The sequence below is a fragment of the Homo sapiens genome, chromosome 3 (genome assembly GCF_000001405.40).
Source record: "Homo sapiens chromosome 3, GRCh38.p14 Primary Assembly".
NCBI classification, from domain to species: domain Eukaryota; kingdom Metazoa; phylum Chordata; class Mammalia; order Primates; family Hominidae; genus Homo; species Homo sapiens.
The window spans coordinates 141,407,565-141,421,282 of record NC_000003.12 but is presented as its reverse complement, the minus strand read 5'-3'; the positions used below and the strand labels follow the sequence as shown (position 1 = coordinate 141,421,282).

Here is a 13,718-nt window from a genome sequence, read left to right as displayed (position 1 = left end):
AAAAGAGAGAAGTTTCTAGACTCCTGGTTCCACATGGCTTATTATGCCATACTCCTCAAATGGCAGATGCTAGGACCCCACTTATTAAAGTGGTTGACCTCACTGTAAGCCTCAGTTTCCTCATCTATAAAACGGAGTGACTACTATACATATCATGGAGTTCTGGGAGGATTGAGAGTATATGAGCACTCAGCAAGTACATAGCAAGTAGTAAGTGCTCAATAATTGATTTTATTTATAATATACAGACTTTTTTTTTTTTTTTCCTGAACTTCTCCTTTCTTCCCTTGTTTTATTCCTCTCCTATGGCTTCCAAACCTCCAGGACTGGATTTTTTTTTTAACTGAAACTCAAAATTTCCCTTATTTATTCTGGTTAAACTTAATTGTGTTTGTTTTATCCATCCTTTCTCTGCCTGCTGAGGTATTTTAGAACATCAATTCTATCTTAAAATACATCTACTGATCACTTAAACATGCTCTACTGATTCCTGCTCTAGAAACTTTCAGTAAGTTCAGGACGGTGATGACTGGGATAAAAAGACATGACTGTATTCTAGCTCACCTCCACAGAGCAGCAGAAAGGGATCATTCTTCTTCCCCAAAAATCATATTTTGAGATCAGTACTGTTATACTTAGAAAATATTTTTAAATCTATTAGAATAAAAAAAGAGAAAGCCTTGGCTTCATCTTTAAAGAAGGAAACTGAGCACACATCATTAGGATGTGACCCTGTAGGAAGCAGTTCTGAACAGCTTAATCCATCAATATGTTTGGAATCAAGGTACTGAGGCCACAAGGCAAGTAAGCTCTTGAACTCAGATCCAGAAAGTTTCAGAGCTCCTGGGAGCAGAATTGTTGGGAATAACCTAAGAATAAAAGATCAAGATATCAAGCTCCCTGGAACTGATCTGTGGTCTCTGGGCTGGTCTTTGGTTACAGGTGACCCAGTGCAAAACTCCAACCAATTACATTCTCTCAGCTTCACTGTTTCAAAACCACAGCAAGACTCTAATTTTCAACTGTTCTTCTCTATTCCCTCATTCTCCCTAAGTAGCTCATTCCAATTGTTTTTCTCAGGCTCACATCCCAGCATCCTCGTGCCCCACCCTGCCTGGAATTCAGGCAGCCTGCGATTGTTTCAGTGCCCATATCCGCTTACCCAGCAGAACACCACCTTCCTCATCCTGACTCCTCCCAAAGACCAACCTTCTCAACCCAAACACAGAACAAAGACAAAAACACCCAGCCTCATTCCTGTGTAGCCTTGTACCATTTGCAAATCACTTTTTTTTGAGACGGAGTTGTGCTCTTGTCGCCCATGCTGGAGTGCAATGGCATAATCTTGGCTCACTGCAACCTCCGCCTCCTGGGTTCAAGCGATTCTCCTGCCTCAGCCTTCCCGAGTAGCTGGGATTATAGGCATGCACCACCACGCCTTGCTAATTTTGTATTTTTAGTAGAGATGGGGTTTCTCCACGTTGGTCAGGCTGGTCTCAAACTCCCGACCTCAGATGATCTGCCTGCCTCGGCCTCCCAAAGTGCTGGGATTACAGGTGTGAGCCACTGTGCCTGGCCTACAAATCTCTTTCATACACCCCTCCTTATTTTCCTTCTTACGATGCTACTGCAGGCTGGGAAATTGTATTTCTATTTCAAAGATGGGACACCAAGGCTCAGAAAAATGAAGACAAAGTCCCAGCACCACATCACATGTCACTGGAAAGGTCGGGTTTTCAGTCCTGATCTTGTGACTCTGAGCTTCAAACTAACTTCTAACGTACTTAAATGGAAGACTAGATTTGTGTGATTCTAAACATTAGCAAATATAAACCACCATCTCATCTTTTGGTTGGTATGCTTAACAGTTGTGCTTATTTTATGCCAAATTCAGTGTCATACATGTATCTGCCACTCAAAAAAACTACATATGTGATATGGTTTGAGTTTGTGTCCCTGCCCAAATCTCATGTTGAACTGGAGGAGGGGCCTGGTGGGAGGTGACTGGATCATGGGGGCGGATTTCCTCCTTGCTGTTCTCCTGAACAGTGAGTTTTTACAAGATGTGATGGTTTAAAAGTATGTGGCACTTCCCCCTTTGCTCTCTCTCTCCTGCTGCCATGTGAAGAAGATGCCGCTTCCCCTTTACCTTCTGCCATGATTAAGTTTCCTGAGGCCTCCCTGTCATGCTTCCCATTAAGCCTGCAAAACTGTGAGTCAATTAAACCTCTTTTCTTCATAAATTACCGTCTCAGGTAGCTCTTTACAGCAGTGTGAAAACAGACTAATACAATATGGTTAGCTATCTTTACCAACAAAACCAGTCTTTCCTGATCAGTCTATAGCATGCCATTAGCACACTGCTGACCAGGTGATCACGTAAATATTCTACTTTGTATTTTCTACCATCTTGCGTTTACTTGATCACACAGTATTTTGTTTAACTTGTTCTTTAAAATGAGAATAACACCTGAGAAGATTATTGTGATAGCTGAAGAAGGCAGTGAATATAGAGACCTTAGCTAGCAAATATTCAATTAATGGTACACAATATTACTACTACTAACACATTTTCAATGCTTTCACTAAAATCAAGCAGAGTTTTGTTTTCTTAACAAGTATCTGATGAGGTATAATGCAGTATCAGTACAATAATTCTAAGAAACAGAATGATTTCCTCTCCTTGGCCTTTTTGAATCTTTTATTTCTTCCCTCATTCAGCAACCTCCTGGAGCCCACTCTCCAATGGAGGAGAGAGACGTGCAGACAGCTCCTATGATGATGAGAGTGCTTCACTGATGGGGCATCCAGGGCTCTGGAGGAAGCAGCCTTAAACTGGGGAACAGGAGTCAGTGCAAGGGAGGGGGGGCTCGCTCTTGAAGGATAGGGAGAATTTCCTTGGAATCCAAGAGGGAAAAAGGCATTCTTTTGTAGGCAGAGGTCTAAGCAAAGGCAGGAAGGTATGAAATAGAATGACACACTTGGGGAGGGGCAAACAGGTGGGATGGCTGCCCCACAGGCATGTGCAGGGCTGCGCTAGGAGATGGGGAGGAACCCTGGTGGGGCCTGGTCATGAAAAGTTTCCAATACTGGATGAGTTTGGGCCTTATCCTCTAGTCCCATAGTTCTCACCCCCTAACTACATACTGAAATCGCCTTTGGAAACTTGAGAAAACACCAATACTCAGGCCCCAATTCAAGATTCTGATGTGTTTAGTCCTGGGTGGGGCCTGAGTATTGGGCTTTTTATTTTTTATTTATTTATTTTTTTGAGATGAGTCTCGCTCTGTCACCAGGCCGGAGTGCAATGGCGCGATCTCGGCTCACTGCAACCTCTGCCTCCTGGGTTCAAATGATTCTCCTGCCTCAGCCTCCCGAGTAGCTGAGACTACAGGCATGCACCACTACGCCAGCTAATTTTTGTATTTTTAGTAGAGATGGGGTTTCACCAGGTTGGTCAGGGTGGTCTCCATCTCTTGACCTCGTGATCAAGCCTGCTTAGACTCCCAAAGTGCTGGGATTACAGGTGTGAGCCACTGCGCACAGCCTGGGCTTTTAAAATAAGCTCTCTATGTACAACTTGAGCAATGGCAAGTCATTTAAAAGATTTAATATAGGAATGATTTGACAAATTTGCAGACAGGTCACTCTGAAAGCAGTTTGGCTAGAAGGATGTCTGGAGAAAGTCTGAAAGAAGGCAAAGAGACAGGTGGGGATGAAAGAGAGGGGAAAAATTTGAAAGCTATTTGGATGAAGAATCGACTAACTGGAAATTAGGGGAAAGGCAGTGGAGCAAGAATGACTGACGTGCCTGTTCTACTGCGTTTAGATGTGCTACTAACAGGTCAGGAGCCCAGATCAAAGAGCTGGTTTGGGAGGTGGATAATGAAGGTTGTGAAGTCTGTGCTCCCTCTGAGAAGCCTGAGGAAAATGCAGGTGGCTCCCTCAATCAACAGACATCCAAAATGGACTTCAGTGCTGAAAGGGAGCTGGGGTGAAGATTCAGATGTACAGTGCAATGACATATGGGAGGTGGTTGCAAACGTGAGCATGCATTTTGCCCAAGTTGAAGTAAATTGGATGAAAAGAAAATAGGGCTAAAAGGGGAGCATGAACAATGGATGCTGGTGCATCAGAACCACCTGCAGACCCTTACTGCGATTTCATTTCTTCGTGCCACTCCAGACTGACTGAATCTGGTAAGGCCCCAGAATCTCATTTCTAACAAGCTCCCTTGTGCTGCTGGATCAAGGTTAGGTTTGGACACTGTACTTGTTTCCTGGGGCCGCTGTAACAAATTACCTCAAACTTGGTGACTTAAAACAACAGAAATTCATTATCTCACAATTCTGGAAGCCAGATGTCCAAAATCAAGGAGTCAGCAGGGCCGTGCTCTCTGTGAGGGCTGCAGGGGGAGAATCCTTCCTTGCCCCTTCTAGTTTCTGGTGGCTCCAGTCTCTCCTTGGCCTGTGGCTGCGTAACGCTTATCCTCTGCCTTCATCTGCACATGGCCTTCTCCTTTCTACAAGTGTCTCTACTGTGTGTCTCTTATAAGGACACCTGTCATTGGCTTTAGAGTCCACCTCTCATCTCAGAATCCTTAATTACATCTGTGAAGACCCTTTTCCCAAATTAGGTCACACTCACGGGTTCTGGGACATGGACACATCTTTTGGGGTGCAGCCATTCAACCCATTACTGACACCATGGCAGTAGCTCACATGAATGAATGTGAGAGGGAGCTGGGATCCAGAACTCCACGCTAAGCTTCCTGACAGTGGTAGGAAGAGGAAGAAGAGAGGAAGGGAGAGCGAGCCAGCTCAGAGACTCCTAAGATATCCAGCTGCACTCCCAAGTTGTGTTCTGCTCAAGGGACCCCAGGCCACTGTGAGTCCAGGGCAAAGGACCACCTGAGAGTACTCCACGGAATGGAAAAAAATCACAACAACCATAAATTCACAAAAAGCCAGGCCATGCTGCCCTCAAAATGTAGGCAAGAACTTGGAAGGGCTGAAAAGGCTTTTAATTCATTTTTAAACTAGATTAATGTAATATGAAGCTGGAATTTCCTCTCTAAGATTCTGCAGCCCTTTTCTCACCACCCTAGTAGTTTCCAGTCCAGACAGGTCACCATGGCAGCATGGGATTAATTATTTCTGTCTTTCCCGTTGTTTTCTCAGGAGCAGGCAATGCCCTCAGCCATGAACATTAAAGAAGTTCAGCTACACCTCCCTTTTCACCACCTACAAGGGTCCCATAAAAATTCACTGAGAGCAGACCACCCCTCGTTTTTATACTGATACACGTTCCACCATTAAAATCCTACATTATAATTATTTATGTCAGTTCCCTGATACACAAAGGTTTTCTGTCCCCTAAAATAGGACCTTCCCTGCTTGGCAACAGGGTTTCCAAGGCCAGAAGGTCAGTGGGGGCTGGAGATGGTGGAAAGGAATGAGGCACTATAAGATTAAAGTCACAACCAGGGGACAACAAGAGTCTTCAGAATCAGATTCTTAATGTGGTCAATCACCCCATCATACATTTCTACAGCAGGGCTTAAAAGGCACAACCCTCAACCCCACCGCCTAAGACCAAAGCCTCCAATGCACCTCCTAGTTAGCAAGTCCACAATCTTACATAGGCCAATCTCTATGTCAGTCTGTCTCTGTGCTTCGCCAGAGTGTCTAGAGCAGCACTCCTCAAATGTCAATGTGTGTAAGTCAGCTGAGGATCTTGTTAAGTGCATTTTCTGACACAGCGGGTCTGGGGTAGGGCTCGAGGCTCTGTATTTCTAACGGACTCCCAGAGGATGTCCATGCTGCCAGTCTGAGGACCACACTGGGGGTAGCAAATGTCAGGACTCCACTGCAACAGCATCTGATGGCTTTTCTTTGGTCAAGTCATCCTGGAACAAGTTTCTAGAATGATTCCACCCTGGCCCCCCTAGAGTCCAGCCCACACAGCATAAGCCCTACAACTTGACTTATAATGGCAGAAACTTGCATTTCTAATAAAAGCCCAACTCCTACAACGAAAATGGGTGACGTAAACAGGACAGATTCCAGAAAAGGTTCTTGTATGTCTGGTCCGTCTTCATCTATGTCAGGGTGGAGATGGCTGAGGTACCCCTGAAGATGTGGTTTAAATGGAGTGTAGGGAAACCAAGTTCCCTGACCTCTGGTGAAATAATAGCTAGAATGGAGAAGATGATGATGATGATGCCAGAAACAAGAAAAGCTAACATTGACTGAGCACCTTTTACATCCCAGGCCCTGTGCTATGTGCGTCAAAGACATTATGACTCAGCACCGAGAAAGAAAGGGCAGGGTTAAAAGATATGCAGAAAAGAGGGAAAGCACTGTAAATTCCAGGGTGTGTGGAAGGTCAATAAAGTGTCAACAGAGGCAGAGAGGACAATCCTCAGATTGTCCCAGTCTAGGCCTAGTTAAGGAGTCACTGTTTGATATTTCAGAAAACATCCTTGGACCAAACATACCAAAGACCAAGTACACCAGGACGTATCTGCTGTCCCTTGCTGTCATCCATCACCTGATGCCATCCAGGTTAGCCTCTGCAGGCTTGGTTCCATCTGGCTGCCTTAAGACGGACATGCCTGGACACAGAGGGGCTTCCTCTGATGTTCTTCCTGTCTCACCCTGGGATCAGTACACCGAGCACTGGGCAACTTAGTCAGGGCTGCTCTGTCTGATGCCTTCCAGATGTCCCTGGACACAAATACTATGCTCTGCTACTGACCCCACTGACATAATTACTTTGCCTGTATGAAATGGACATAGTTATATCTGAAGTGGCTGACTTATTTGTGGTGACATGGAGAAGGTTCAATGGTCTTTACTTTTCCCTGGGCTGGGCCTTAGACAGCTTCAAGCCCAACGCTCTGCAGGAGAAGACTGGGCAGGTTGCCACTGAGGGAATTCGGATCAGCGGACTGAGTCAAATGGCGTGCAACTGGCATGCAAGAAGCAGTCCATAGGCTCCATTCGGCCTGCAGACGCTCTCATCAGGCCCCTATCTGTGTGAAAAAGTTTCAAACCTCCAGTTTGCCACAATCTAACCACTTGCTTACCTTCTTATACCAAGCCCACATTTGATGTTCATATTACTTTCCTGTTCCTGTATGTATGTGAGTTTTAGATCTTAGTCTATAAAAACGTAAGTATAAATCACATGTAGGTTTTGTTCTGCCTGTGAAATTTTAATCTCTGTACTGTGAGTCATTGTCCTTCTAAAATTTAAATGATGAGATGTCAGTATTCAAGTTTTCAAAACTCTCAGAGTGCTCCGTCCTAATGAAGAACAGGTGTTGAGAAGCCTTACCACAGAATATATTTGGGTGACATACTATTTCTTAAGGATCCCTTTAGTTTGTCCATTCCTATGGGGAAAATTTCTCTACGTAAATCTTCAGAGACAGAGTGGCAGGTATCAAACTCTTCACTTTGCTCCAGTCAGTCACATTAATGATAAAGTCTGTTCAAGCTTCAAGAAAAAGGGGTACTTAACTCCTAATAAGCATTTCATGAAATCAGATTTTCTATCAGAGGCACTCAGCTCTCCTTTAAAACAAGCATCCCACAAGTCATCATGAGCAGGTGTGTAACGGGGGAAGCAACACTCACTGAGTTTTTATCGGTTCCGGTATCCTGAGCTGACATCATGCTCCTTCCTGGGTTACAGTATGTGGGAGTTGACATCATGCTCCATCACTGTGTCACACAAATACAACAGTTCCAAAAAACAGATCATAGAAATAGGGCCTGGACCATCCAGCTGTCAGGTATTCAAAACAATAGGGTCAACACCATGAAGCATCTCCACCAAGATCACAAGTACCCACAAGGAATCCTCAGAACTGCTCAATGAAAATGGTGGCTAAACCCAGGAAGCAGATTTCAGCTTTAGAGACATCAGGGGGATGTGCAGCTGATTCCTCAGTCTGGGGAGCATTCTGACCGTCTGGGGTGTGAGGACCTCCTGCAGGAAGGTGGCTGAGGCTCTCGGCCGGCTGGGTCTTCCCCACCTCCTCCCCACTGTCAACAGACACCTGGCTCCAGGCGCAAAATACCAGCGTACAGAGATCATCTGTATGGGCCTGGGCCCTCAGATATTTATTTAAGTCCACGTACACACTTTCCCTGCACAAACATTTTCTTCTTCCCCATTTCCCACAATTCCTCCTCCCATGTTTCCAGTTTGAAGCCACTGCTGGCAACACTACGACCTCTGGAGGGAGGCCAGGCCTGGCAGCACAGAGCTCGAAGGCAGCACAGGATTGTGAAAGTCGCCTCTTCATAGGCTCAGGAGACGCAGGCGCTTGGCAGAGCTGTCCGGCAAGCCCACCAGTAGGTCTGAGGTACAAAGAGAGGCACAAAGGCTTTCCTACTATGGAAAAGCGACAAAAACTCTGGCCAGTGTTTCAAATGGATGAACAATGGTTCAGATAAAAAAAAAAAACCGAGTGGAAAAAATTGTGGGAGGGAGAAAGAATATTAAGGGAGCTAAGTTCCAGTGAGCTGTTGCCAATTTCACCCCAAAAGAAAGGTAATAGAAACAGAAGGAAAGTTTCTGGCAGTAGTCAGGTGCCTACATAGTTCCCCTATTCACCTGGTTTAGGGTAGAATTATCTGAGCAGAAGGAGCAATGATGTTGGTAAATAAGTTGTCTACATTAAAAAATAATTAAAACTCCCCAAACAAACTCCAAACCACTGCAGGTAAACACTCGCAATATGTTGTTTAGAAAAATTATGCTTTAAATATACTGATCTAAAAAAAAAAAAATCAAAAGAACAGACTGTTCTGTAGAATAGCTTGAGTTTCTGCCTGTGCTTTCATTTTAGAAAACAAATGCTCGTAGACCTCACAGTGGGAGGAGTTTCACACAGGGATTCAGCTCGCAGAAAATGGCCACCGGCTTTGAGAGACCTTAACACAACAAACAGGGCACCCAAGAGACCTTTTGGGAATACGAGGCACTTGCCTTTCACAAGGGTAATCGTCTAGAGATACACAAAACCATTTTTTTTTCTTCCCGACCAGTAACATAAATCATAGCTTCCAAAGTATTTGTTTACAGAATACCACAGTGACTAATTACCAGAACTTTTCTTATTCTCTCTGAGCAAAGGAACCTCATGGGAGAAAAAAAATATAGGTCATTTTTAATGTAAGGGAGTTGCTAGGATTGGAGGTTAAGACAACTATTTAAACTTCATAAAAGGAAAAACAAAAGACCTCAAAAAGTATTTTCTAAAATAGAGAAAGGTGCAAATCTTCTTATCAGAAACGCATTATAAATAGAAAAGAAACTCTTAAAAGAGATTCTTCAAATGTGACAAAAAGCTCTTGGTTTCCTGAAAATGTCAAAAACAAAAACAAATATTGACAATACTAAATATCCAACAGACAGGGTAAGAACTTCACTTAGAAGCAAATTTCCATTTAGGTAATTTATGGTGCTTCTGTGCAAAAAGTTGCTTTACACTGTGTAGTCGCTGAAGACACTCCAGAATTGCTAGACCTTCACAGGAAAAATTTTAAAGGTCAGGGTTTTTTTTCTTTCCCTAGTTAGCACAGCACTCAGGGGCAGCCAGTTCTCTAACGTCTGAGTAAAACCCTACACAGGGCTTCATTTCAGTGCCACGTCATGGCTTTTGCAGACTATCTTCTTGCCTCCGCTTCCTCAAAGTGGTCCTTCTGTCCCCTCCCATTAAAGCAAAGGTGGAACTTGCATTAATTCAAGGGAAGGGCTGAACACACTACAGAAGGCATGGTTCAGCCACAGGCACCGGTTATGGCTGTAACCACTGTAAATCTCTTCCACGAAAGAGCATCAAAGACCTGCACAGAGACCTTGAGAAACCTTGCTCTTTGGGCTCAAGTCAGGGACTATAAGACCAGACTAAATAGGTTTAAGCAGGGACAGATCAGAATGCTGAGTAGGTTTTTCAAAAAGGAAATCCTCATTTAGGTGTCTAGGAGCCAATCACTGTGCTATTAAAACTAATCGGAAATCTCCATGCTTACATGAAAACGCACAAAAGTATGGGGAGACTGATCTGAATATGTGGGTCTCCCTTGCCTGGCAAGATAATGAATTCATCTTTGTTTGGACTGAATTGGTGGTCTTATTATCTAATTGTCATCAACTCTACAAACAGTCAGTTGTTCTAACACATGAACAGGAAAAATAACATAAATAAAACAGGGCCTAGAAACAATATCCAACTCACAAAGCAGGAAGTGACAGCTCATATCTGTCTCACCTTGCACAAAGCCTGCCTTCACGGGTTGCTGAAATAATCCCAAGATACCCTTCCAGGACTTAAACAGCCACTGGATTTTTCATGAAAATGCATCCTGGTATGAACACTCACAGTAGTGGCCAGAAAAATAGGGGTGCGCAAGCTGGGTCTTCCTCTCTCCCTGCGTAAATGTTTTAATTTCTTTCAATATTAAGTTATAATACAGCTTAGGAATTTTCATTTACATAAGAGAGGAGAAATGCTTTTGTAAGATGGAAAACAGCCTTCTGTCTCTCCCAGGTCAAAAATAAATTTGCTTGACTATCTTAATTGGCAAAAACCCAAGGGCTCCAACTGGACCGGAAGCTTTGCATCACGGTGTCCTACTGCGTGTGTCTGCTGGAAGCCCAGCAGATGTCATGGTCAGCTTGCTCTCATGGGACAATGCCAGTCCTTCTTTAAGCTTTGCTGCTGACTGCCATCTCCTGCTCTTCTGATAACCTGCCTTTTTCTGGCAGACTGGGCCTAGGACAGTGGGTTCTGTTCCCACTTTGCCACTAATGATGTGGCCTTGAGCAAGTCCTAAGACTTCTCTGGACTCTTCTTATCTGGAATGCAAAGAGGTCGGGCTAGTTTATTTCCCAGGTTCCTTGTAAGCATTAAATTTGAAAACCATGATTACCAGCCTGTCCCAATCCTTCTGTAAGAGTCTTCATTCCCTCAAAAGTGGACAATCTCCCACCCTTAAATTCATGCACTTTCCTCAAGTGTAGAGGGTTAAAGGCAGAACCCAAAGTCTGGCTAATATCGGCATATCTATGAGGACAGGAGGGAGCTACTACATTGAGACCCCTGGGAGACCTCAGACTGAGTCCCTGCCCCTGCTTGTCCCAGCACCTCTGCTTTTCTGCTCAAAAGAAAATAAAGTACTACACCTTAGAGCCGGAAGGAAACAGCCACCATTGAGCAAAACCTTCTTTGGTTATAGGTGAGGAAACCAAACAAGCAAAGTCATGCTGGGAACAATTCCTAGGCCTCCCCTCTGGATTCTCACGAATGTCTTTCTTCTCACCCCAACCCAGCCCTGCAGGGGCTCTGGGCAATTTTCCTAGCCCCCTGTAGAGTTCCTCAGGGCCTCAGAGGGTAATCAACAAACATTTACTTAGCCCTCTGGGCAATCCCCCAAGGAGCAGTTTTAAACTTTCAACTGGTATAGGCTCTGGGAACATTTAGCCCAGCACAGTGACAGTGACAGCTATAGCAAGACACAAATTGATTGATCTGATCAGTGTGGAACTCCATTGGTGTTTTACTCTAAAAGAAAGGCTTGCAGCAGCAGCACAGACAGTAGATAAGGATAGGTTAGGGATATAGGGAGGCTCCATGAGGGTGGGGTCCTGATCTCCTACCTGGCACGTAGTTGATACTAAGTAAATATTTGCTGAACAAATTCAAGTTTGCACATTATCTCTGCTCCATTTGCTTCTTGTCAAAAATTCTGAGGTTACAATAATATTAAGGATGAGGATCTCTGAGCCTCTCAGTTAAAATCAGGAACAAATACCTGTTTCATACTCTCACTATGTGGCTGGGGAGGCAGCCCAGAGTGTGGAGAGAAGAGGCTGGCCTTGTGAGTCAGACAGACCCCAGGGTGTAAAAATCTCACCTCAGGATGGGCACGGTGGCTCACGTCTGTAATCTCAGCACTTTGGGAGGCTGAGGCCGGTGGATCACCTGAGGTCAGGAGTTTGAGACCAGCCTGGCCAACGTGGTGAAACCCCATCTCTACTAAAAATACAAAAATTAGCTGGGCGTGGTGGCAGTTGCCTGTAATGCCAGCTACTTGGGAGGCTGAGACAGGAAAATCACTTGAACCCGGGAGGCAAAGGTTGCAGTGAGCTGAGATAGCGCCACTGCACTCCAGCCTGGGCAACAAGAGCAAAACTCCGTCTTAAAAAATAATAATTAAAAAAAAATAAACTCCCATCTCTACAATCTTGGCTGTAGTTGAGTTTCTTTTTGCTTCACTTGCCACACCATGTTGTCTGAGGTTCTAAAAGATGGCTGAGATAATGCATATAAGGTACAGACCTAACTCCATGAATGTCAGTTCCATCCTCTTTCCTTGGGAGCTGTGGGTATAGAGAGAGAAACTCTGTTTCTAGGAAAGGCTCCAGGCCATCAGCATCCTCCTCCAAAGAGGCAAACCAGCAAGAGGATGCTGACATCGTTTTAAAATGACTCAATATAGTTTTCATAAATATATTCCCAATAAGTCATCTGATTTCTAAACTATGTATAGAGAACATAAAGAGCAATTCCATATACATGTCAAATGTTTTATACTTTCCATATCTAAGTTAAACACCAAACATGTCTATATATCTCAATCCTTTGTTGTGAATAAACAAAGAGGGAAGCTAGAATTAGGAAGAAAAAAATGATACATTCTTTTTTTTTTTCTTTTTTGAGATGGAGTGTTGCTCTATCACCCAGGCTGGAGTGCAGTGGTGCGATCTCAGCTCACTGCAACTTCTACCTCCCAGGTTCAAGTGATTCTCCTGCCTCAGCCTCACAAGTAGCTGGGGCTACAGGTGTGCGCCACCATGCCTGGCTAATTTTTGTATTTTCAGTAGAGATGGGGTTTTGCCACGTTGGCCAGGCTGGTCCCGAACTCCTGACCTCAGGTCATCCATCAGCCTTGGCCTCCCACAGTGCTGGGATTACAGGCATGAGCCACTGTGCCCAGCCAAATGATTTTTTCATCTATAAAATGGAGTTGGGATAGATGAAGAATATGAACTTTAGCCTAAAAATTAAGTGACTTTAAGATGCAGAGATTGAGGGAAATAATACAATGACAGAGATGTTTATCCACCAGAAGACAGAGTCATGTAGAATACTTTAATGGCATGACTGTAGTGTTGTCACATATTGCTAACAAACAAGTTACAATGGTTTTGCAAACTCTGGCCATGGGGACAGGGTGTCATCACTTATTCCCCAGAAAAAGAAACTGGTTTGCAGGCAGCTTGTTACCCAGTACTGTGATCACACAGCAGAGAGCAATGAGATGATGCGGGGTGGGAGGGTGCAATAATACCACCATTCCCTGACTCTCTGGAACGTATTTGTTTTTGTCTGATTATGCATATAATCCATTAACATTAATGATATAAAAATTTTGAGTATAGACATATCTCTAGTAGAAACAGGAGTTGAAACTAGCATCTCAAATCTCAGGTTTATCTCTTCCTCTGCTTCGCAGAAATTGGCAATTGTTAATCTTCGTCACCAGCCATGACAGTGCTGTTTAAAATGCAGATTCCCTTGCCCCACCTGGGAATCTACATTTTGACAAGTTCCCCAGGTGGATTCTTGTCCATACTAAATTGATGATCACTGGGACTAACCCAGAATAAATCAGTGGTAATAGGAGATGTGTGCTTTC

The 13,718-nt window shown here is 44.1% G+C and overlaps 1 protein-coding gene across 114 annotated transcripts in view, besides 1 other annotated feature; it reads right to left on the bottom strand.

Annotated features, from left to right (window-relative positions):
* ZBTB38 (zinc finger and BTB domain containing 38) overlaps positions 1-13,718 on the bottom strand; it is a 125,607-nt gene that overhangs the window by 28,510 nt on the left and 83,379 nt on the right. For 19 of the 114 annotated variants that reach the window (XM_047447849.1, XM_047447844.1, XM_047447852.1 and 16 more), the window contains one exon: positions 7,644-7,794. The exons of 87 other annotated variants lie outside the window; for them this stretch is intronic. In XM_047447849.1, coding sequence (XP_047303805.1) covers positions 7,644-7,721 — 78 coding nt within the window. In that variant the 5' untranslated portion in view covers positions 7,722-7,794. Of the gene's footprint in view, positions 1-7,643; positions 7,795-12,358; positions 12,400-13,718 lie in introns of all 114 variants that reach the window. 8 more of the 114 variants (XM_047447853.1, XM_047447841.1, XM_047447847.1 and 5 more) reach the window with 2 other exon arrangements.
* Positions 11,387-11,476: an enhancer, noted in NCBI's record as "active region_20631". NCBI's record gives its function as "activates an Ori minimal core promoter by ATAC-STARR-seq in GM12878 lymphoblastoid cells {active_cell/tissue: GM12878}" and the evidence as "EXISTENCE:reporter gene assay evidence [ECO:0000049][PMID:35858748]".